This window comes from Homo sapiens, chromosome 6 (genome assembly GCF_000001405.40).
Source record: "Homo sapiens chromosome 6, GRCh38.p14 Primary Assembly".
Classification (NCBI taxonomy): Eukaryota; Metazoa; Chordata; class Mammalia; order Primates; family Hominidae; genus Homo; species Homo sapiens.
Window position 1 is genome coordinate 157,566,490 of NC_000006.12, and position 23,718 is coordinate 157,590,207.

General features: G+C 43.6%; 1 protein-coding gene across 7 annotated transcripts in view, besides 1 other annotated feature; it reads left to right on the forward strand.

Moving 5' to 3' along the window:
* ZDHHC14 (zDHHC palmitoyltransferase 14) overlaps positions 1-23,718 on the forward strand; it is a 296,968-nt gene that overhangs the window by 185,300 nt on the left and 87,950 nt on the right. The gene's annotated exons all lie outside the window — the stretch shown is intronic.
* Positions 6,343-7,075: an enhancer, noted in NCBI's record as "H3K27ac-H3K4me1 hESC enhancer chr6:157993864-157994596 (GRCh37/hg19 assembly coordinates)". NCBI's record gives its function as "activates a minimal SCP1, AML or CMV promoter by ChIP-STARR-seq in naive H9 embryonic stem cells {active_cell/tissue: H9 hESC(naive)}" and the evidence as "EXISTENCE:reporter gene assay evidence [ECO:0000049][PMID:30033119]".

Below are 23,718 nucleotides of genomic sequence, written 5' to 3' on the forward strand. Positions count from 1 at the left end.
ACTCTTTTAGCCCACAGGGTGAAGTCCACTTACCACCCTGAAGAAGCGCTGGACAAAATCTCCAGACGGCCACTTCTGCTCTTTCAGGGTAGGTCCGAATGACACTCTGGCGGGCTGGACACCAAGCGGGAGGTCCCTGGAAATCACACCCAATGCCTCTCAGGCAATGTGAGTTAGCCCAGGCGAGCTACCACTGTCCACCTCTCTGCCCATAGTGAGCCTTCGAGGAGTTTGGGGTCAGAACCCAAGTCCCAGTCCCATCTGGGTCACTAGAATTTTCTTACCCACATTGTGTGTGTTTGGTTGCTTGAGGGGGCATCAACCCAATGACCACAACCAAGGAGAATTTAGCAAGGGGAATTTTTTTTTTTTTTTTTTTGAGTCAGAGTCTTGCTCTGTCGCCCAGGCTGGAGTGCAGTGGTGTGATTTCGGCTCACTGCAACCTCTGCCACCCGGGTTCAAGCCATTCTCCTGCCTCAGCCTCCAGAGTAGCTGGGATTACAAGCATGTGCCTCCATGCCCAGCTAATTTTTGTATTTTTAGTAGAGACGGGGTTTCACCATGTTGGCCAGGCTGGTCTCAAACTCCTGACCTCAGGGTGATCCATCTGCCTCGGCTTCCCAAAGTGCTGAGATTACACGCGTGACCCAGCATGCCTGGCCTAACAAGGGGGTTTTATTACTTGTGACAAGTAAGGAGAACACCAGGGATGGTTCCCAAAACTGTCTTGTCAAGCTGGGGGCTGGGGCAGATGCAAAAACATAGGGTAATGAGGTGTGATCTAATTGGATCTTGTAATGCAATGATTCCGGGAGCCCCATCTGACTGCCGTGGGCTGAGCCTAGAGCTCAATCTGATTGGATCCTGGATGCCAGGCAATGTCCACTTCTTAATTTTGTCCCCATTCCTCACTCTAAGCACTTAGGTTCCACCTGTGGTTGCGGGCTTGGTTCATCTGGGCATGCTCAGGTTATGTGACCTTCAACCTGGAGGTCCATGACAACTGAAAAACAGATCACAACTTTGGTACATAAAAGTTGAACCCGCCGGGCGCCGTGGCTTTTGCCTGTAATCCCAACACTTTGGGAGGTTGAGGCGGGTGGATCACCCTGAGGTCAGGAGTTTGAGACCAGCCTGGCCAACATGGCGAAACCCCATCTCTGCTAAAAATACAAAAATTAGCCAGATGTGGTGGTGTGTGCCTGTAGTCCCAGCTACTTGGGACGCTGAGACAGGAGAATCAGTTGAACCTGGGAGGTTGCAGTGAGCCAAGATCACACCATTGCACTCCAGCGTGGGTGACAGAGTGAGACCCCATCTCAAAAAAAAAAAAAAAAGTTGGACCAGATTGGTTTGATGTGGTTACACTGAAGTAGTCCGTGTTAAGTGAGCTAATATTTGGACTCAGCCCCTTACAGCACTGTAGGGCTGCCAGAAGGCCAAGAGCTGACTTAAAATTTCAAGAGCTGCAGGTGGCCCCAATGAGTGAAATACCTCCTTGTCATAGAGCTTCAGAGTGAAGTAAGAATCTGAAAAACATTTTACTCACTTATAACCAGCCTTTAGGGGAAATAGAGGGGACATCTTTCAAAAATCATTATGAAAACTATGAACTTGCATTTTTTTCCAAAGCAGCAGAAATACTTCATTGACATCTAAATTTATGAATTGTAGGGAACCAATTTCTTTTGCAAATGTTTTATGCCTATTTCCAAACTGTTTCAAAAGCGATAGTTTTTTCTCACTACAAAGTAATATATATGTCCATTATAGAATCCTTAAAAAGAATAAAGAAGAAAATGAAAATTGATTTTAATATATTAAAGGTACTTAATTAATTCTACCAAAGATATAATAATTAACATTTTTATATATCCTTCCAGTTTTTTTCTCTGCATAATGTATTTTTACCCAATGGGATCACATTGTACATTACTATTTTGAAGGCAGATTTTTTTTCCTCTTAATATACTTGAACCTTTCTTCACAGGAATTCCATTTTTAATAGGTGTGTAGTAATCCACTGTATGATCACATCATCATTTGTTTAATAAATCCCGTCTTGTTGACATTGAAGTTGATTCCAGTTTTTAATATTAATTAAAAACAATGTTGCACTCAGTATTCATGAAAATTTCCTTAAGTCAAATGCCTAAAAATGCTGTTGCTGGGCCAAAAGATACATACGTTTTTAATGTTTTGAGATATACAACTAACTTGTTCCCCCTAAGGCTGTATAAATTTATATCTTCACCAAAAGTATATGAGCATGCTTATCCTCACTGTTCTCAACAATACCAAATATTGTCAAGTAAAATTAACTTTTGACCTCGCTTGTTTGAAATTGGGGGTTGGGGGCAAATCACAAACTTTAAAAAATATATTTACTGATAGCTGTTATTTCTTTGTGTGAGTTGCCTGTTCATCTTTTTTGCCCATTTTATCACTGGACTATTTGACTTTTTTCTATTTATTTATTAGAGCTCTTTAAAGATACTACCCTTTGTTATATATGTTACAAATATTTTTCTACTTTATCATTTGCATTTTTATGAAGTTTTTTTGACATACAGGTCTTTTATTTTCTATGTGGTCAGAGTATCAATCTTTTCTTTATGTTGCCAAACTTATGTGACAAGCCAACCTATATAGAAAAAGATTGATAGTCTAACCATATAAAAATTTAAAAACCCGTATGTCCAAAAACCTTTCCCTACTCCACTCCTCCTAATCAGATAAGTTTATGTATATTTTTCTAGTTCTTACATATTATAATTTTTTACATTTTAGTCTCTGGTATGTCTTTGAAGGTGTGGTTTTAACTTCAGGTTCTTCCCTCAAATGATTAGCTGTCTATCCTAATTTTGTTTATTTGTAATAAATAAAATAATAATTAATAATAATCCATGCTTTCCCCACTGATTTGAAAGGCTGTATTTATCAGATACTAAGTCTTAGAAAATTTGTCTATTGGGGATCTTCTATTTTGTTTCAGTATTTTATTTATTCCCGGGCCAATGATTTCCCCTTATTATTTTACTTTTGCAAATATTCTCACGTTTATTCTTCCAGATGAAGTTTAGAATCATTTTGTCAAATTTGTCAAAATTTTTCTAAATCATATTGAGATTTCTATTAGCATTGTAATAGATGTATAAAGTAAGTTGGGAAGAAGTGACATATTTAAAATACTGAATCTTCCACCGCAGGAAGCAGAGTGTCTCTCTGTGGTTTTCAAAACCCCCTTCAAGTCTCTATATTGTTGTATTGTTTTTTTCTTCACACGGAAGCTACCTACCATTTTTTTGTTAGCTTTATTTCTAGAGTTTTGTGGTTATATTTTTCTGTTTCAAAGGAGACATTGTCTTCTTTGTAGTTTCCAACTGTTTGTGTCATTAAATATATAAAAATACTTTTAAAGCTTGTATATATATTGGTTTATATTTGTTAACCTTAATGAAGATTTTTATTCATTTTATCCAATCTGTGTTGATTAGAGGCAAAAAAGAAAAGAGCTTAGGACCATAATAGATGGGCATTTTTATTCTTTAAAGTATAGTGTACTTATAAATAGCATCCCCTGCTTCTGTACTGGTAATCCTAATTCTCTTTTCTTCAATGCTAAAGATAAAATCTTGCACCAGTCCGGTGTAGAATGAGTGATAAACCAGCCCTTGCATTCAGGTCTTTTGCTAATGCTCTCAATATTAATGCCACTCAAACTTCAATAAAAGCCTGTCTGATTTTCCTGGTGATAATGGTGAAGCCTGGCCCTGCCATAGCGTGGTATCCAGTGTCCACTTTTTACCTTTGTTCTTGTCTACTTGTCTTACAATAATGCAAACACTGACAACCCAAATTGATCTCTATCACTGTACAATATTTACCCATTTCTGACAATGCAGAAATTATGTACCACAAAGTGGAAACACACAAATATTTCTAGCTTTGGCTTTCAGTGGAAGAACTGATCTTCACTTACGCAGCACAGCGGTTTTGTGTATATACTCAGAGAACTTTGACACAATTTGAGGGAAATTAAAACTTTGCAAGGACAAAGCCACTTTCTTTTCCTTTCAAGGGCAAGGCTTTGGCATCCATGTGGAAAAAAATAGTATGGAAAATATAAGGTAGTCATTAATTTTCATTTTGTTATGAGCATGTATTGGATTAACTCAGTTAAACTAAAAAGGTCGCAGCTACTAAACACTTTCTTTTTATTGTTTTTAATTGTACTAATTAGTGATATATATATGTATATACATACACACACACACACACATATATATATACACACACACACACATATATATACACACACACACACATATATATATATATACACACACACATACATCTATATTGCCCTTCTGAGTCTGGGCAGCCCCTGAAAAAAGAGCTTTTGATAGCTGTGAACATCATAGCATCTGACAGTTCAAGGTCTTTGCATGAATTACAATGTCCCTGAACTGCAGGAACTGAGATTGTCATGGTTTAAAAATGGAGAAGCTGAAGTCTGTTTTCTCCACCAGATCAAAGAATCATACTCTTTACTGGGGCCATTCTATGTTTCCATTTTCTGGAACTTATATTTTCAAAACAATTTGTAGGAATATTTGTGTTTCTATTCATGGAATCATTTTTGAACATTGATGTTTGCCACTCCGCATTCACGTTAAAGTTCAAGCAAATAGCCACTTCAACTTCATGAGAGCATGCCTATGTGCACGAGAGCATTCCTTGAATGAAACGTACTTTATTAGGGTCTTTCTCACCTAAAATCAGCATGCACTCTAGACCACAGCTATTGTCTGTCATGATGTTTTTCAAACTGTGCCTCCTGGAGCCCAGGCAAGGGACAGACATGTTGGGTGTCCCCATAAACCAGAGCTGCTTCACTCTCATCTGTTTTGTATACTGAGGTTCTTTGTAAAAGTTTCTTTGAACGGAAACTCACGATGCTATAAATAACAACAAAAACAAACAGTTTAAACACCTGGCCTGGCTGTTTTACTGGGCAGACCTTCCATAATTAACTAGATAATATCAGCTCTTTGGGTGACGGGAGCATCTTCGTAAGTGGCTTGCATCTTTCTCTTTTGTCTGTGTTTTTAGCCAGCTGCTTAGATTCCCCAGCTAATGGTACTGAAATGCAGCCTTGGGGTTCAGCTGTTACTTGTATGGTGTACAAACCTGTCTCTCTCAGCTGTACACAGGGAGCTGTTATAAAAATGCATATTCTTAGCCCCTCCTGCAGATAAGAATCTTCAGGAATGAGGAATCTGTATTTTTTTTTTTTTTTTTTTTTGAGCCTGCTAGGTAAGTAAACCTTTCGTGAATGGTGCTTGGGGCGGGGACTTCACCAAGCTTAGCTAACTAGTTGGCTGACTTGCTGTTAATTTTGTCCTGCCTGCTAATAAGTGTGTGCACCTACGGCAAGGCTCCTCAGATTTTCACGTGCATCCAAATCCAAATTCAGGGTGGGAGGGTGTGTGGGGAATCTTTGAAAATGCAGATTCTGGCTCAGCAGGGTCGGGGCTGGGAGGAGACGCTGAGATGATTCATTTCTAATAAGCTTCCTGGTGATGCCAATACTGCCAGTCCATGGCCCACACTTTGAGTAGCAAGACCCTAGGGCAGGGCCTCTCAGCCTCAGCACTCTTGATATCTGGGGCTGGAACGTTCTTTGTTGGGAGGGGCTGTCCTGCACATTGTAGGACATTTAGCAACACCCCTGGCCACCACCCACTAGGTCCCACTTGTGACACTCCCTCCCACTCATGACAACTACAAACATCTCTAGATGGTTTCAGATTTCCCCCGGGAGGCAAATCGCCCTGGTTGAGAACCACTGCCCTAGATGATCCCGATCATCAGCCAAGTTTAAGATCTGCCATGAGTATGATTTGTCTGCACACTTAAATTATTAAAAAATACAGATTCTGGGTTTATCTGGCCTCCCTAGAGTACAAGCCACAATAAGAAAGAGGACTAACCTTTTTTTTTATTTTATTATTATTATACTTTAAGTTTTAGGGTACATGTGCACAACGTGCAGGTTTGTTACATATGTATACATGTGCCATGTTGGTGTGCCGCACCCATTAACTCATCATTTAGCATTAGGTATATCTCCTAATGCTATCCCTCCCCCCGCCCCCCACCCCACAACAGTCCCCGGTGTGTGATGTTCCCCTTCATGGACAGAGGACTTACCTTGTTTACCACTGTATCTACAGCACCTAGAGGACTGTTGGGCATACAGTAGGTGCCTAATAAATATTTGAATGAATGCATAAAGAACCTAGCACTGCATAGCACATGAAACTCATTCTTCGAGGCCACCTGTTTCTGTTCTCTATTAAGTAGACAGAAAAAGGTTTTCTACTAATACTTCCATTGGGCTTTTTCCCCCGTCAATTCCTTGTTAAGGCCCTAAGTAGTCAGGTTCTCTTGGGGCTAGAGGGCCTATTTAAAGTTCTTATCCTACAAATGCCTTCTTCTTGACAAAGTTCTCTCCTCAAGAGATCATCCCACATGCCCTTTGATGACCAAGTCTGGGAAAAGCCCAAATCCTTTGTGTTTTCTAACGAAATTACCCCCTACAACTCAAAACCAGCTTCCTGTTCCGAGAAAGGCAAGGATTGTCTGCACTCGCCATCCCCCTTTCTTTCGGCCCCACTCCCCTTTCATCTTTCCCACCACTTACACCCTCTTGCCAGCTGTTGAGGAGCTCTGGGGACTCCTCTGCAAGTCAGAGCGCGGTCAGGGCTCTCCAACCCTTGCACCGGGTGCACCCTGTGCTCCCTCCCAGAGCTGGAAAGCATCCACGCCGGTTCCATCTCATTCCATGGGACCAGCATGTACCCAGTGGCAGGCCTTTCATGTCCTGCTCACCTCACGAGGGCAAGCCCGACAGAATGGTTTGAGCCTAAGTAGAAAAAAATTTGCCCAGCCTCCTGGCCCTGCATGCCTCCAGCAAGGGCAGAGAGACGAACCATCTCTATGCGGGACATGCCCCAGGGCCCCTTCTAGATCCCCATCCCTGTCATGTGGGGTAGGCCCCCTGCTGCCCACCCTGGCTCCCTCCTACGCCCTTCATGAAGGATCCCTCTCCAAGCCCATGCAGCCTTAAATTATTCCAGCTTTGGTCTCTCACAGTGCTTAACCCCATGCCCTTCCCATCTTTGTGCACGTGGTCCAAGCATTCTGGGCATGATGGGTTAATCCTTCCTGCCAGCTGCGCATCCTGGCTGAGCTTTGTTTCCAGTACTCTCCATCCAGCCCAGAGGAAGCGCAGCTCAGCCATGGTGCTCTACTCCCAAGGAAGCCCCAGGATGTCCCTGCCAGGGTCCACCCTCCCACATCAGCATTCCCCGTGCCCATGGGCCTTGGTGGGGAGATGCACGGATGCTATGGGGTCTGTGCTCAAGCATGCTGGGGAACGCTACTCTGTGAGAAACCTCGGGGTCGGGGGGGAAGTTCTTTGCTCTTAGGTTCCTAGGGCCTCGGCTGTGCTAATGCTCACATCAGCTTCCTAGAGGGAACACCAGAATTTGGGTTTTCCCAAATGTGTTTGGCATGGACTAAATGACTCAACAACACCACACTCTACACCTCTCTGTTGTTCCTTGCCTTTAAACATACGAGATGCCAGGTGTGGTGGCTCATGTCTGTAATCCCAGCACTTTGGGAAGCTGAGGCAGGTGGATCACTTGAGGTCAGGAGTTTGAGACCAGCCTGGCCAAGATGGCAAAATCCTATCTCTACTAAAAATACAAAAATTAGCTGAGCATGGTGGTGAATGCCTGTAATCCCAGCTACTCCAGAGGCTGAGCCAGGAGAATCACTTGAACCCGGGAGGTGGAGGTTTCAGTCAGCCGAGATCGCGCCACTGCACCCCAGGCTGGGTGACAGAGTGAGACTCCGTCTCAAATAAACATTGGAGCACCCGTGTCATTGCTGAATACTTACCTCCAGCCTAGGCCCTTCCTCTGAGGTCCAATTCTGCATGTGCCCCTCCCAGATGGTAGTTGCTCATGGTCAATACCACACCCATGACCTCCTCCCACTCCCCTCACCCAGCACCACAGAAACTCCCCTGGACTGCCCCGGGTTCCCTGCCTGAGCCAGAATCCAAGACTCACCCTGGTCACCTGCCTGGCTCTCATTCATTACGTCCATTCATCATTGGTTTCCCCATTTTAAAGTTTCTGGAATGTATCTACTTCTCTCCATCACCATGGCCACCACCCTATTTCAAGCTAACATCGTCTCAAGCTTGTATTCCAGATCCCTCCTAACTGGGCATAGATCCATTCTTTCTTCCCTAGCCGATTTGTCTTTGATACTGCAGTCGATGTGATATGACTTAATTGCCTACCTGATCACTTTACCACACAATACAGAACCCTTCTTGGCCTCTGTATTATTCAGTGCTCTCTAGAGAAATACCTGGAGAAACAGAATATATGTATGGGGGGCAGGGAAGAGGCGGGTTTATTTTAGGAATTGGCTTGTTCCGATTATGGGGTTGGCAAGTCTGGAATCTGCAGGGCAGGCCAGCAGGCTGGAAAGTCAGGTGAGTTGGTGTTGCCATCTTGAGCCTGAATCCTGCAGGGCAGCAGGCTGGAAGCAGGCGGGGTTTCTACCGTGAAGTCTTGAGAATTTCTTCTACCTTGGGGGAGCTCAGTATTTGCTCTGAAGATCAGCACCTGATTGGAGGAGGCCCACCCTCATTAGGGAGAGTAATCTGCTTTACATCAAAGTCTGCTGATTTAAATGTTAATCTCATCTAAAAAATATCTTCATGGCAACATTTAGACTGGTGGTTGACCGAACAACTGGCACATGGCTGAGCCAAGTTGACACATAAAATTAACAGTCACAGCTTCCTTTTGCACTCAGAATGAAGGCCAACATCCCAGATGTGGCTACAGGGTTCTGTGTGGCCTAGCCCCTGCCTTCCTCCTCTCTCAGATCTCCCGCTTACACTGTGCTCTGGTCACACAGCCCTCCCTCCATATCCTCAATATAACATCTCCCTCCTGTCCTGGGACCAGGACACAAGCTGCCCCCTGTGCCCGAAGTGCCTGGTTCCCTGCTCCCAGCGAGTGTGCACACCCCCACACACATTGTCTAGGGAAAGCCTACTCTATCAGCCTCCAGATCCTGGCTCAAATGCTGCTGCTTCTGGGAAGAGTTCCTGCCCCAGGTGGATTCTCCTGCTCTCTAACTAAAACATACACAGTGTGCAGCAATGCATTTTGTTGTGTGATTATTTAATTAATATATGCCCTCCAACAGACCGTAAATTCCTTGAAGGCAAGCACCAGCTCCCTTTTGCCCACCAGAGAACCCTCAATGCTCATAGGTGTTGAGTGAATGATTAGGAAAAGGCAAACTGGGCTGGAACACCATGTTTCTTTCATTCCTTGCAGGACTCACTACTCGGCTGCCTGCGGCCCGCCCTGGCCCTGGCCTCCCCAACCCTTCCATGTTCCTCGCTCTCTTGCTTCTGACTCGGCAGGCCTTCTTTGCTCCTCCTGTGATGGGTAGGGGACTAAGCAGAGGAGATGCTCCAGGTGCTGCCTGCATGTGGCTTGGGTTTGAAACTGCCCAAATGAGCCCTTCCTCAGGCATCCATTTCCATCCTTGAAGAAAAATGTTTAAGACAAACGGACATACTAAGGATTTTAACTGGAAGAGGAGGACTGGGGGCCTTGCCTTTTCTTGAGTCTTCCTGTGCATATCTGTATATAAGAATTCATAAAGAAAAAGCTGCTGCAATATATTATTAAGAAAATTTCACATTTTAATTCTCCAGTGGAAACCGAAACAATGTATATAGACAGACCAGAATTTGCTCTACTTTTTTCCCAAACAGTTAAAATAAAAGGAGTTGACTTGTCTAACATTTAATCATTGTTAATATTTTCCTGTGGGCTTGGAAGTTTACAGACTGTAAGCCCAGAGATTATATTCAATGACTCTTAAAGTAACCATCTTCTTTCATGATAGGTCAGCCATTCCAAGGTTGGGTAGTTTATGTCCTGAATGTTACAGAGCACGACTAAAATGAGCATTATGAAAATTTAAGATGTGTTAGATCCACCAGCTGTGTGTTGGTAGCATCCAACAGCTGTACTCCAGCAAATTCAATAGATATAGTCACAGAGACTTGAGTCTAAAGCAAAGCACATTTGCCCTGTGACTTACATCCTAATGCAGAGAGATGCTTCATCTTCATTCTGACTGACTCCTCTTAGCAGAGCTTCCTACCACTCTGGCAGGCATTCTGTCAGCTGGTTAATGGTCTATGAAACTGAAATCCACCAGGCTATGCCACTGTTCCGAATCCTTCGGTAAGGAAAGAATTTTTTTTTAACTTTTATTTTGGGTTCAGGGGTACATGTGCAGGTTTCTTATACAGGTAAACCGCGTGTCATGGAGGTTTAGTGTACAGATTATTTCATCACCCAGGTACTACCCCACAGGTATTTTTTATGATCTTCTCCCCCATCCCACCCTCCACCCTCAAGTAGGCCCCAGTGTGTGGTGTTCCCCTCTTTGTGTCTGTGTGTTCTCATCATTTAGCTCCCACTTGTAAGTGAAAACATGTAGTACTTGGCCTTCTGTTCCCACATTAGATTGCTTAGGGTAATGACCTCCAGCTCTATCCATGTTGCTACAGTGAACATGATTTCATTCTTTTTTAAGGCTGCATAGTATTCCATGGTGTATATGTACCACATTTTCTTCATCCACTCTACCACTGATGAACATTGAGATTAATTCCATGCCTTTGCTATTGTGAATAGTGCTACAGTGAACATACATGTGCATGTGTCCTTATGGTAGAATGATTTATATTTCTTTGGGTATATACCCAAAAATGGGATTGCTGGGCTGAATGGTAATTCTATTTTAAGTTCTTTGAGGAATCACCATGCTGCTTTCCACAGTGGCTGAACTAATTTACACTCCCACCAACAGTGTATAAGCAGTCCCTTCATTCCCTTTTCTTGGCAACCTCTCCAGCCTCTGTTTTTTTGTTTGTTTGTTTTGTTTTGTTTTTGAGACAGAGTTTCACTCTTGTTGCCTAGGCTGGAGCTCAATGGCATGATCTAGGCTCACTGCAACCTCCACCTCCCAGGTTCAAGTGATTCTCATGCTTCAGCCTCCCAAGTAGCTGGGATTACAGGCACCTGGCACCACACCTGGCTAATTTTTGTATTTTTAGTAGAGATGGGGTTTTACCACGTTGGCCAGGATGGTCTCAAACTCCTGAACCTCAGCTGATCTGCCTGCCTTGGCCTCCCAAAGTGCTGGGATTACAGGCGTGAGCCACAGCAGCCAGCCTGCATCTGTTATTTTTTTACTTTTTAATAATAGCCATTCTGCTGTGTGAGATGGTATCTCATTGTGGTTTTCATTTGCATTTCTCTAATGATTAATGCTGTTGAGCATTTTTTTCATATGCTTGTTAACCACATGTATATCTTCTTTTGAAAAGTGTCTGTTCATGTCCTTTGCCCACTTTTTAATGGGGTTGTTTTTTTTTCTTGTAAATTCATTTAAGCTCCTTACAGATTATGGATATTACAACTTTGTCAGATGCCTAGTTTGCACATATTTTCTCCAATTCTGTAGGTTGTCTGTTTAGTCTGTTGATAGTTTCTTTTCAGTAAAACAACTCTTAGTTTAATTAGGTCTCATTTGTCAATTTCTGTTTTTGTTGCAATTGCTATTGGTGTCTTCATCATAAATCTTTGCCAGGTCCTATGTCCAGAATGACATTTCCTAAGTTATCTCCCAGAGTTTTTATAGTTTTAGGTTTTACATTTAAGTCTTTAATCCATCTTAAGTTGATTTCATATGTGGTGTAAGGAAGGGGCCCAGTTTCAATCTTCTGTCTATGACTAGCCAGTTAGTCCAGCACCATTTATTGAATAGGGAATCCTTTCCCCCATTGTTTTTGTCAGGTTTGTCAATGATCAGATGGTTGTAGGTGTGTACCATTATTTCTGGGATCTCTATTCTGTTCCATTGGTCTATGTGTGATATGGTTAGGTTTTGTGGCCCCACCCAAATCTCATCTTGAATTGTAATCCCCATAATCCCCATGTGTCAAGGGCAGGACCAGGTGGAGGTGATTGAATCATGGGGGTGGTTTCCCCTATGCTGTTCTCGTGATAGTGGGTGAGTCTCACGAGATCTGATGGTTTTATAAGTGGCTGGCATTTCCCCTGCTTGCACTCACTGTGTCCTGCTGCCCTGTGAAGAAGGTGCCTGCTTCTCTTTGCCTTCCACCATGATTGTAAATTTCCTGAGGCTTTTCCAGTCATGTGGAACTGTGAGTCAATTAAACCTCTTTCCTTTATAAATTACCTAGTCTTGGTTATTTCTTCCTAGCAGTGTGAGAATGGACTAATACAATGGGTCTGTTTTTATACCAGTACCATGTTGTTTTGGATACAATAGCCTTGTAGTATAGTTTGAAGTCAGGTAATGTGATGCTTCCAGCTTTGTTCTTTTTGCTTAGGATTGCCTTGGCTATTCTGGCTCTTTTTTAGTTCTATATGAATTTTAAAATAGTTTTTGAATTTTGTGAAGAATGTCATTGGTACTTTGATAGAAATAGTGTTGAATCTGTAAATTGCTTTTGGCACTATGGCCATTTTAATGATATTGATTCTGTGTTTTTTTTTTTTTTTTTTTTTTTTTTGGATGGAGTCTCACTCTGTCGCCCAGGCTGGAGTGCAGTGGCGCGATCTCGGCTCACTGCAAGCTCTGCCTCCCGGGTTCATGCCATTCTCCTGCCTCAGCCTCCGAAGCAGCTGGGACTACAGGTGCCTGCCACCACGCCCAGCTAATTTTTTGTATTTTTAGTAGACAAGGGGTTTCACCATGTTAGCCAGGATGGTCTCAATCTGCTGACCTCGTGATCCGCCCACCTCAGCCTCCCAAAGTGCTGGGATTACAGGCATGAGCCACCATGCCCAGCCAATATTTATTCTTTCTACCCATAAACATGGAATGTTTTTCCATTTGTATGTGTCATCACTGATTTCTGGCAGTGTTTTGTAACTCTTATCGTAGAAATCTTTCACCTCCCTGGTTTAGCTGTATGCCTAGGTTTTTAATTATTTTTGTGGCAACTGTGAATGGGATTGTGTTCCTGATTTGGCTCTTGGTTTGGATGTTGTTGGTGTATAGGAATGCTACTGATTTCCATACATTAATTTTATATCCTGAAACTTTGCTGAAGTTGTTTATCAGATCAAGGAGCTTTTGGGCAGAGACTCTGGGGTTTTCCAGATATAGAATTATGTCATCCGCAAACAGGGAGAGTTTGACTTCCTCCTCTATTCTTATCTGAATGCCTTTTATTTCTTCCTCCTGACTGCTCTGGACAGGACTTCCAGTACTATGTTGAATAGGAGTGGTAAGAGAGGGCATCCTTGTCTTGTGCCAGCTTTCAAGGCGAATGCTTCTAGCTTTTGCCCATTCAGTATGATGTCAGCTGTGGGTTTGTCATAGATGGCTCTTGTTATTTTGAAGTATATTCCTTCAATGCCTAGTTTATTGAGGGTTTTTAACAGGAAGAGATGTTGAATTTTATTCACATCTCTTTTATTTCTGCACCTATTGAGATAATTATGTGGTTTTGGGAAATTTTTTAGTTCTGTTTATGTGATTAATCACATTTACTGATCTATGTATGTTGAACCAGCCTTGCATCCCAAGGATAAAGTCTACTTGATCTTGGTGGATTAACTTTTTGATGTGCTGCTAGATTCAGTTTATTAGTATTTTCTTGAGGATTTTTGCTTCTATATTCATTTGGGATATTGGCCTGGGGTTTTCTTTTTTTGTTGCATCTCTGCCTGGTTTTGTATCAGGATGATGCTGGCCTCAGAATTAGTTGGGGAAGAGTCCCTGCTCATTTTTTTGGAACAGTTTCAGTAGGAATGGTACCAGCTCTTTATATATCTGGTAGAATTCGGCTGTGAATCCATCTGGTCCTGGGCTTTTCTTGGTTAGTAAGCTTTTTATTACTGCTTAAATTTTGGAACTCATTACTAATCTGTTCAGGGATTCAGTTTCTTCCTGGTTCAGTCTTTGGAGATTGTATGTGTCCAGGAATTTATCCATTTCTTCTAGATTTTCTAGTTTGTCTGCATAGAGGTGTTCATAGTACTGTCTGGGTTTTTTGTGTTTTGTGTGTGTGTGTGTGTGTGTGTTTTTTTCTTTGTATTTCTCTGGGGGTAAGTGGTAATGCCCCCTTTGCCATTTCTAATTGTGTTAATTTGGATTTCCCTCCTTTTTTTATTAGTCTAGCTAGCAGTCTATCTTATTAATTTTTTCAAAGAACCAACTCCTGGATTTGTTGATGTTTTATATGTTTTTTGTTTGTTTCTTAATTCCCTTCAGTTCAGCACTGATTCTGGTTATTTCTGTCATCTAGTAGCTTTAGGATTGGTTTTCCCTTGCTTCTCTAATTCCTCTAGTTATGATGTTAGGTTGTTAATTTGAGATCCTTCTTACTTTTTCATGTGGCCATTTAGTGCTATAAACTTCCATCTGAACACTACCTTAGCTGTGTCCCAGAGATTCTGGTATGTTGGATCTTTGTTCTCATTAGTTGCAAAGAACTTCTTGATTTCTGCCTTGATTTCATTATTTACCCCAAAGTCATTCAGGAACAGGTGTTTAATTTTCAATGTAATCGTATCGTTTTGAGCAATTTTTTTAGTATGGATTTTTTATTTTTCTTGTGCTATGGCTTGAAAGTGTAGTTGGTATGTTTTTTTTTTTTAATTTGCTGAGGATTGTTTTATGTCTGATTGTGTGGTCAATTTAAGAGTACGTGCTATGTGGCAATCAGAAGAATGTATATTCTCTTGTTTTGGGGTAGAGAGTTCTGTAGATGTTTGTGCTAGGTCCATTTGGTCCAGTATTGAATTCAGGTCCTGAATATCTTTGTTAATTTTCTGCCTCAATGATCTAATACTGTCAGTGGGGTGTTGAGATCTCTCACTATTATTGTGTGGGAGTCTAAGTCTCTTTGTGGGTCTCTAACAGCTTGCTTTATTAATCTAGGTGCTCCTGTGTTAATGCATATATATTTAGGATAGTTAGGTCTTCTTATTGAATTGAATGCTTTGCCATTATGTAATGCCCTTCTTTGTCTTTTTTGATCTCTGTTGGTTTAAAGTCTGTTTTGTCTGAAATTAGGAATAGCAACCCCTGCTTTTATTCTGTTTTCCATTTGCTTGGTAGATTTTTCTCCATCACTTCATTTTGAGCCTATGGGTGTCACTGCATGCGAGATGGGTCCCTTGAAGACAGCATACCATTGGGTCATTGGGTCTTGCTTCTTTATCCAGGTTGCCATTCTGTGACATTTTTTTTTTCTTTTTAAACAGGGTCTTGCACTGTCACCCAGGCTGGAGTGCAGTGGCACAGTCTCAGTTCAGTGCAACCTCTGGCTCCCAGGTTCAAGTGATTCACCCACCTCAACCTCCTGAGTAGCTGGAACTACAGGCACACGCCACCATGCCTGGCTAATTTTTTGTATTTTTAGTAGATTTGGGCTTTCTCCATGTTGGCCAGGCTGGTCTCAAACTCCTGGCCTCAAGTGATCTGCCCACCTGGGCCTCCCAAAGTGCTGGGATTACAGGTGTGAGCCACCATGCCCAGCCCACCCTGTGCCTTTTAATTGGGTCATTTCCTATTTACATTCAAAGTTAGTATTGATATGTGCGGATTTGATCTTGTCATCACATTGTTAGCTGGTTATTATGCAGGCTTGTTTGTGTGGTTGCTTTATAGAGTCACCAGTCTGTGTACTTGAGTGTGTTTTTGTAGTGGCTGGTAATGGTCCTTCCTTTCCATATTTAGTGCTCTTTTCAGGACCTCTTTTAAGGTAGGTCTGGTGGCAAGGAATTCCTCAACATTTGCTTTGAAAAAGATCTTACTTATCCCTCATTTATGAAGCTTAGTTTGGCCGGATATGAAATTCTTGGTTGGAAATTCTTTTCTTTAAGAATGCTGAATATAGCCTGATCTCTTCTGGCTTTTAGGGCTTCTGCTGAAAGATCTGCTGTTAGCCTGATAGGGCTCCCTTTGTAAGTGAACTGCCTCTTCTCTCTACATTTCTTTAACATTGTTTCTCTCATTTTCATCTTGGAGAATCTGATGATTATGTGTCTTGGGGATATTCTTCTTGTGTATTATTTTGCAGGAGTTCTCTTCATTTCCCGAACTTGAATGTCAGCCTCTCTAGCAAGGTTGAGGAAGTTTTCATGTGTAATATCCTGAAATAGTTTTCCAAGTTGCTTACTTTTTCCCTGTCTCTTTCAGGAACACCAATGAGTCGCTGATTTGGTCTCTTTACATAAGCCCATATTTCTCAGAGGTTTTATTCATTCTTTTTACTTTATTTTCGTCTAACTGAGTTATTTCAGAGCCAGTCTTTAAGCTGTGAGATTCCTTCTTCTGCTTGGTATGTTCTGCTGTTAATACTTGTGATTTCATTATGAAATTCTTATAGTACGTTTTTTATCTTTTTCAGATCAGTTTGGTCCTTTTTTATAATGACTGTTTCATCTGTCAGCTTCTGTATCATTTTATTGCAATTCTTAGATCCCTTGGATTGGGTTTCAACTTTCTCCTAAATCTCAATCATCTTTTTTGCTATCCATACTCTGAATTCTATTTCTGTCTTTCAGCCATTTCAGCCTGGTTAAGAACCCTTGCTGGGGAACTAATGCAATTGTTTGGAAAGAAGACACTCTGGCTATTTGAGTTGCCAGAGTTCTTGGGCTGGCTCTTTCTCATCTGTGTGGGCTGGTGGTCCTTTAACTGTGATGTAAGTTGAGTACAGTCAGTAGACTTTTCTGGATGTTTTCAGAGGACCAAGGCTTTTTGCAAGGTCTTTATTTATAGTTAATTATTGTCCTTGGTTTCGCATGGGGAGTATATTACCAAAGGTGTTTTTTTTTTTGTTGGTTCGTTTGTTTTGTTGTTATTGTTCTGCTTTTTTTGTTTTGTTTGTTTTTGGTGTTGAAGTTTTGGGCTTTGATACAGTAGATGGCACTTAAACGTAAGGGCCAGCAGGTAGGCTCTTCCTCAGCCATGCAGCTCCTTGGCGTTTCCACACATTTTCAGCTGTGTGCCCTCTCAGTGTTCTGAGGTGTAGGCTCCTCTCCCACTTAGGTGCTGGCTGCAGATCTCGGCTTGGCACTCCCAGGATGCCCACTGCAGCTCTGGGGTAAGCTCAGGCTTTATATTCTGTCCTCAGCTTGGAGGCAGCAGAGGAAGGGCCCTTAGCAGTGGTTGTAGCAGAGGGCCTTTCACTTCTGTTGTGGGGCTCCACCCACCAAGAGATGCAGAGCCATGATCAATCATTGCGATTGGCCTGGGATGGGGCAGCTGTGCTGTGGACCTAAGTGGAGGGGACCCTTTCCAGTGATGAGCAGGGTGGGTGGGTGGGTCCCAGGGGAGACAGCCTGGCCTCTTCTCCTTAGGGCAACTGCAGCTTGCTGGCAGTATGGTTGAAGCACTCAGGGTCTTTGTTCCTTTCCCAGTCCAAGGGCAGCAAGGCAGCACCCTTGCAATGGCAGTGGCCGAGGAGATCTCGGTTGCCTCTAGGAGCTGCACCTCAGAGAACTGCTGAGCTACTGGTCTGGATGGGAGTGAACACTGGGGCAGGGAGGCTGCACTGCTGGCCTGAGCCAGGGACTCTACTTGTTGAAGAGTGGGGCATGGGGGCTCACAGGGAAGAGACGGGACTCCTCTCTGGTGGCTGTGGTGTGCTGGAGGTGCCAGCATAGTGACTAGGCCCTTTGTTCCTTCCCCAGCCCAAGGGCAGTTAGGGCACTACCACTACAGCTGCAATGGTAGGAAAGAATCTTACTCTACATCTTTTATAATTTGGGATTTTTCCTTTTGCATTGTAAGAAAGCAGAGTCCAGTTACTTTATATGGTAACACATAGATATTTGATCCCTGAATTTGGGGCAGGAATAAATCTGATGGGAGACAAATGGATCTATCAGGATGGAAGTGCTCTGCTATTCCCTCAGGAAGAAAAGATGACTTACTTGAAGTCACAGGCAGAAGTTAAACAGCTGATAGAAGGCCTCCAGCAAGTCCAGGAATTCTGTGTGAAACAATTGTCAACGGGCAGCTTCCCATCCTTGAGCCCACATGCCGCACAGCCCCAATTTCTTCATCCCCAGCTCCCCTAATTTTTGCCCACAGGCTGGTTGCAAGGGTAACACTAGATGTAAGTGCTGTTATTATTTCTGTCTCCATGCCAGCAACGTCCACCAATTGGTTGGGGGACTATATGAAGGAAGAGACCATTTTACATACTCTTTCAAAATGCTTGTGTATAAAAATCTCCTTGAAAAATACTGACTTGGGATGGGCACGGTGGCTCATGGCTGTAATCCCAGCACTATGGGAGGCCGAGGCGGGTGGATCACCTAAGGTCAGGAGTTCGAGACCAGCCTGGCCAACATGGCAAAACCCCGTCTCTACTAAAAATACAAAAAAATTAGCTGGGTGTTGTGGCAGGAGCTTGTAGTCCCAGCTTCTCGGGAGGCTGAGGCAGGAGAATTGCTTGAACCCAGGAGGCAGAGGTTGCAGTGAGCCGAGATCGCGCCATTGCACTCCAGCCTAGGTGACAAGAGCAAAACTCCATCTCAAAAAATAAATAAATAAATAAATATACTGACTCATATACACTTGCCTAACTGCTAGAGGTTTTCCCCCCAAAATTCTAGTGTTTGACCCACTAGCTATTGCAAATGCCTATTATTCCTTTTTCAATTGCTGTATTTAAGCCACAAAGAGCAGCCCAAAGAGGCAGAGGCACAACTGTTACCAACAACCAAAGGAAACCAAAAATACAAAAAAAAAAAAAAAAACCCAAAACCAGAAAAATTGAGTAGAGCAGGAACCCTCCCTCTGCTTCTCTCTTTGTGCCACATGACACAGGCCACAGGTGTTTGTGATCTCCAGATGAGAGAAAGACTTCATGATTGGCCACTGGCCTCAGGCTAGAACACTGAAGAAAAAGTTTCTTTGTGCCAAGGTTGGTATGTGAAGCCCTGGGTTTCAAGCCCCCTTGTTCCCATCTGCCCTGGATGCAAGTGTGTCTGAAAGCCATGGGCCTAGGCAGCTGTTGGATGCATTGTGTGGAAGAAAGAACAGCGGGGCTCCCTGAGGTACACAGCTGGCCTTCTCAGCCGGCCCTTTTTGGGGGTGCTACCTGGCCATGCGAGGTTGGCTCTGGATCAGCAGCAGCTTGTGGATAAGTTTTGAAAGAGTCAGATCCACAGAGCACCTTGGAAAGGTGTCCTCTGCAAGTGAGGGGCTATAGGCACAAGAGTGGCCTGCCTGGTGGACAGCGTTGCAGCACTTGAGGGCCTGTGGCTGTGATTCCCAGGCAGGGTGGAGGTGCGGGAGCATGGCAGTCCTCCATCTTGGGCATCTCCTATGTGCTAGACTCTCTGCTGGATGATGGGGACTTGAAAGTGGATAGGCCGTGGTCACTGCCCTGGAGCAGCAGGAAGATCTGGAAACAAATCCTCCTGACATCATCGGTACTGGGTCTTCCCTCTGGCCTGTAAACACCACCAGCAGAGAAGAAGTCTGAGTTCCTGCTGTGTCCCCAGCTCAGAGCCCAGGGCTGGCCCCCAGTAGAAGCACAATACAGATCTAGTGGCTGGATAAATAAAACAAGGCAGGCGCAGTGAGAGCCCAAAGGAGGAAACAAGTAACTCTGCTTGCAAAGTGTTTTCACAAGAGAAGCTGGAACTGGCCCTCAAAGGATAGGATTATCTGCGCAGACAGCAGGAGAGGGAATCCCGAGCAGAGAAAATATCACGTGCAAATGCCTGGAAGTAGAAAACAGCATTGCCCGCTCAGGGAAACCCAAGGAGGCCACCGTGTTTTGAGCATAGGCTCCATGGAAGATCGTGCAAGGAGAGAGAAGGTTCATGGATTGTGTGCTGTATGGGAGGGCCTGAGTTTCTTGATGGGACTTGCATTTAGAAAGCTGACTCTTTAAGGGCCAGGAGAACAGATCAGATCAGAATGGGTGGCAAGACGGGCTCAAGACTTGCTGTGCTCATCAGACAGCCCAGCAGAGCCCTCCCAGGACCCCAGCGGCCCTCGGCAACCCCTGGTGCAGCACCGGCTTATAGTAAATCCTTCATAAATATTGGTTGACTTTTTTCATGGCATCGCTGGGCCCTGAATCCAGGTCTTCTGATCCTTCCATTTCTTTTACATAAAGAGCTCTCCAAATATTTAGTCAAAGAGTTTTGGGTTTCGGTTTAATTCTTAAGCTTCAGTTTACTATGTCTTTTGAATTCTAGCTTTCAGCATTTCACCTCTTTGTAACAGAGGTTCAATCTTTTAAAAAATGCACTTTGGAACTAAAGATCAATAGAGTTTATCTTCAGGAGTGTCAGCAAATACTCACTTTATCAAGTCATTGCTACTCAGAACTAGGCTATTTAAATAGTTGTAGTGTTGATACGTTTGTCATTCCTGCATTTTAAAATATTCACCTTCACAATTCAGTTTCTAAACTTTTCTACTGAAATTAACACAAATGTTTGACTGAGTTCGTATTTTATAAAAAGATATCAGGTCTAGTTTTTCTACCCATGTTTGCAGGAGTAAATAGAGGCAATAGATTTCACAGCTGACATTAGGATTATTATTAATCTAGGCCTCAGTGGCACCCAGCTGGCACCCATAGAGACCTGACCTTATCTTTGATGGATTCAAAGCCAGTGATTTCTATCCAGTGCTCAGGGGAAGCACACAGCCGTGCCATCTCTTTGTTCTCTCCTTATTGCAGAATCAGTTGCAAGGCCTCCCTCTTCTTAAGGCCCCTGCTTTTGGAGCTCAGCACCTCTCCAGATGCCTGTGACATTAGTGCCATTTGATGGGGCAGCCACCTGGGGTGCCAGGCAGATGTGGCACCTGCCAAAAGAGGGTATCCTGCTTGGCAGGGCAAGGCCACCCAGAGTCCTTGGACTGGCTCCACAGCTGTTCAGTTATTCTAAGCAGAAGGTTTGGGCCTCAGGAAGAGAGAAGTAGGAGACCTGCTTCTTCCTCCTGCCATTGCCCCGCCCTGCCCTCCACACTGCCTGCTCTCCCTCGAACCTGGAACTTTAATTTTCCATGAATAATTCATGGCCAGTAGCAGTTCAAAGCACTCTCCTTAACTCTGGGATTGTACTTTCACAAACACCAAAGCCTTAGGCTAAAGGGCTATAGCAGCTTTCCAGACCTCTGACAGCCATTTAAAGAAGACCAAGGCTGGGCACAGTGGCTCATGCCTGTAACCACTTTGGGAGACCAAGGTAGGAGGATCACTAGCTTGAGGCCAGTTGCTTGAGACCAGCCTGAGCAACATAGTGAGACCTTGTCTCTATAAAAAATTTAAAATTAGGCTGGGTACTGTGACTCATGCCTGTGATCCCAGCACTTTAGGAGGCCAAGGCAGGCGGGCCACCTGAGGTCAGGAGTTTGAGACCAGCCTGGCCAACATATAGTGAAACCCTGTCTCTACTAAAAAAAACACAAAAATTAGCTGGGCGTGGTGGTGCACACCTGTAGTCCCAGCTACTTGGGAAGCTGAGGCAGGAGAATGGCTTGAATCTGGGGAGGCAGAGGTTGCAGTGAGCCAAGATCACGCCACTGCACTCCAGCCTGGGTGACACAGCAAGACTCCATCTCTCAAATAAATAAATATATAAATAAATAAATAATTTAAAAAATTTAAAAATTAGCCAGGCATGGTGGTGAATACCTATAGTCCCAGCAGCTTGGGAGGCTGAGGTGGGAGGATCACCTGAGCCTGGGAGGTCAAGGCTACAGTGAGCTATGATAGCACCACTGCACTCCAGCCAGGGTGACAGAGTGAGACTATTTCTAAAAATTAAAAAATATACATTTTTTAAAGAAGACTGCAGGGAGGGGCATTCCTTTTCGAGCCCCTGAATCATGACATGCGAATCATGGGTACTGTCAGTGAGTGACAGCAGCCCTGCTTGGGGGCAGAATGGCACAGCTCTCCAGATACCCTGAGCTGTTCTAAATCACCAAGTGCTCTGCGTGAAAACGCTTGGGTGTGGGTGTGTTCTGTGATGTGGCCCCTCACCTGACTAAGCTGCGTTCTCTAAGGGTAGCTCTTTATCATACAAGTGAGTGTATTTGAGTACATAATAAAGAGGCACATAGGAATGTGTGGACTGGGGAGTATTTACTGGCACCCCACAGTGGGGTTCTCAAACCTGAAAGTTTCAATCACTGGGGAATCTCGGTGAAATGCAGATTCCCATTCCATAGTTGGGACAAGCCAAGAATCTGCTTATGTGCTAGGCTGTCAGATGATATGGATGCTGGTGGACCACTCTTGGAGCAGGCCTTCTCATCTTTGGCTGCAGATTCCCATCTGTATTAGTCTATTTTCACATTGCTATAAAGAACTACCTGAGGCTGGGTAATTTATAAAGAAAAGAGGTTTTATTGGCTCATGGTTCCACAGGCTGTATAGGAAGCATGGCTGAGGAGGCCTCAGGAAACTTACAATCATGGAGGAAGGAAAAGAGAAAGGAAGGAAAAGAGGAAGGTCTTAAATGGCCAGAGCAGGAGGAAGAGGGTGCAAGGGGAGGTGCTACACCTTTTAAACAATGAGATCTCATGATAACTCACTATCAGAAGAACAGCAAGGGAGAAATCCACCCCCATGATCCAGTAACCTCCCACCAGGCCCCTCCTCTGACATTGGGGATTACAATTCAACATAAGATCTGGGCAGGGATACAAAACCAAACTATATCAACATCTCGGAGGAGTTTTTAGACATCTCAATGCTTGATATGGTTTGGCTGTGTCCCCATCCAAATCTCATCTTGAATTGTGGTTCCCATAATCCCCATGTGTCATGGGAGGGACCCAGTGGGAGGTAATTGAATCATGGGGGTGGTTACCTCCATGCTATTCTCATGATAGTGAGTGAGTTCTCATGAGATATTTGCTTGGCACTTCTCCTTCCTGCTGCCATGTGAAGAAGGATGTGTTTGCTTCCCCTTCTGCCATGATTGTGAGTTTCCTGAGGCCTCCCCAGCCCTTCAGAACTGTGAGTCAATTAAACCTCTTTCCTTTATAAATTACCCAGTCTCAGATATGTCCTTATAGTAGCATGAAAATGGACTAATACAGTATATTGGTATTGGGTAGTGGGGCACTGCTATAAAGATACCTGAAAATGTGGAAGCGACTTTGGAAGTGGGTAACAGGGAGAGGTTGGAACAGTTTGGAAGGCTCAGAAGAAGATAGGAAGATGTGGGAAAGTTTGGAACTTCCTAGAGACTTGTTGAATGGCTTTGACCAAAATGCTGATAGTGATGTGTACAATGAAGTCCAGGCTGAGGTGGTCTCAGACGGAGATGAGAAACTTCTTGGAAACAGGAATAAAGGTGACTCTTGTTATGATATAGCAAAGAGACTGGTGGCATTTTGCCCTGCCCTAGAGATTTGTGGAACTTGAGAGAGATGATTTACGGTACTGGTGGAAGAAATTTCTAAGCAGCAAAGCATTTGAGAGGTGACAGAGCATAAACGTTTGGAAAATTTGTAGCCAGATCATGCAGCAGAAAAGAAAAACCCATTTTCTGGGGA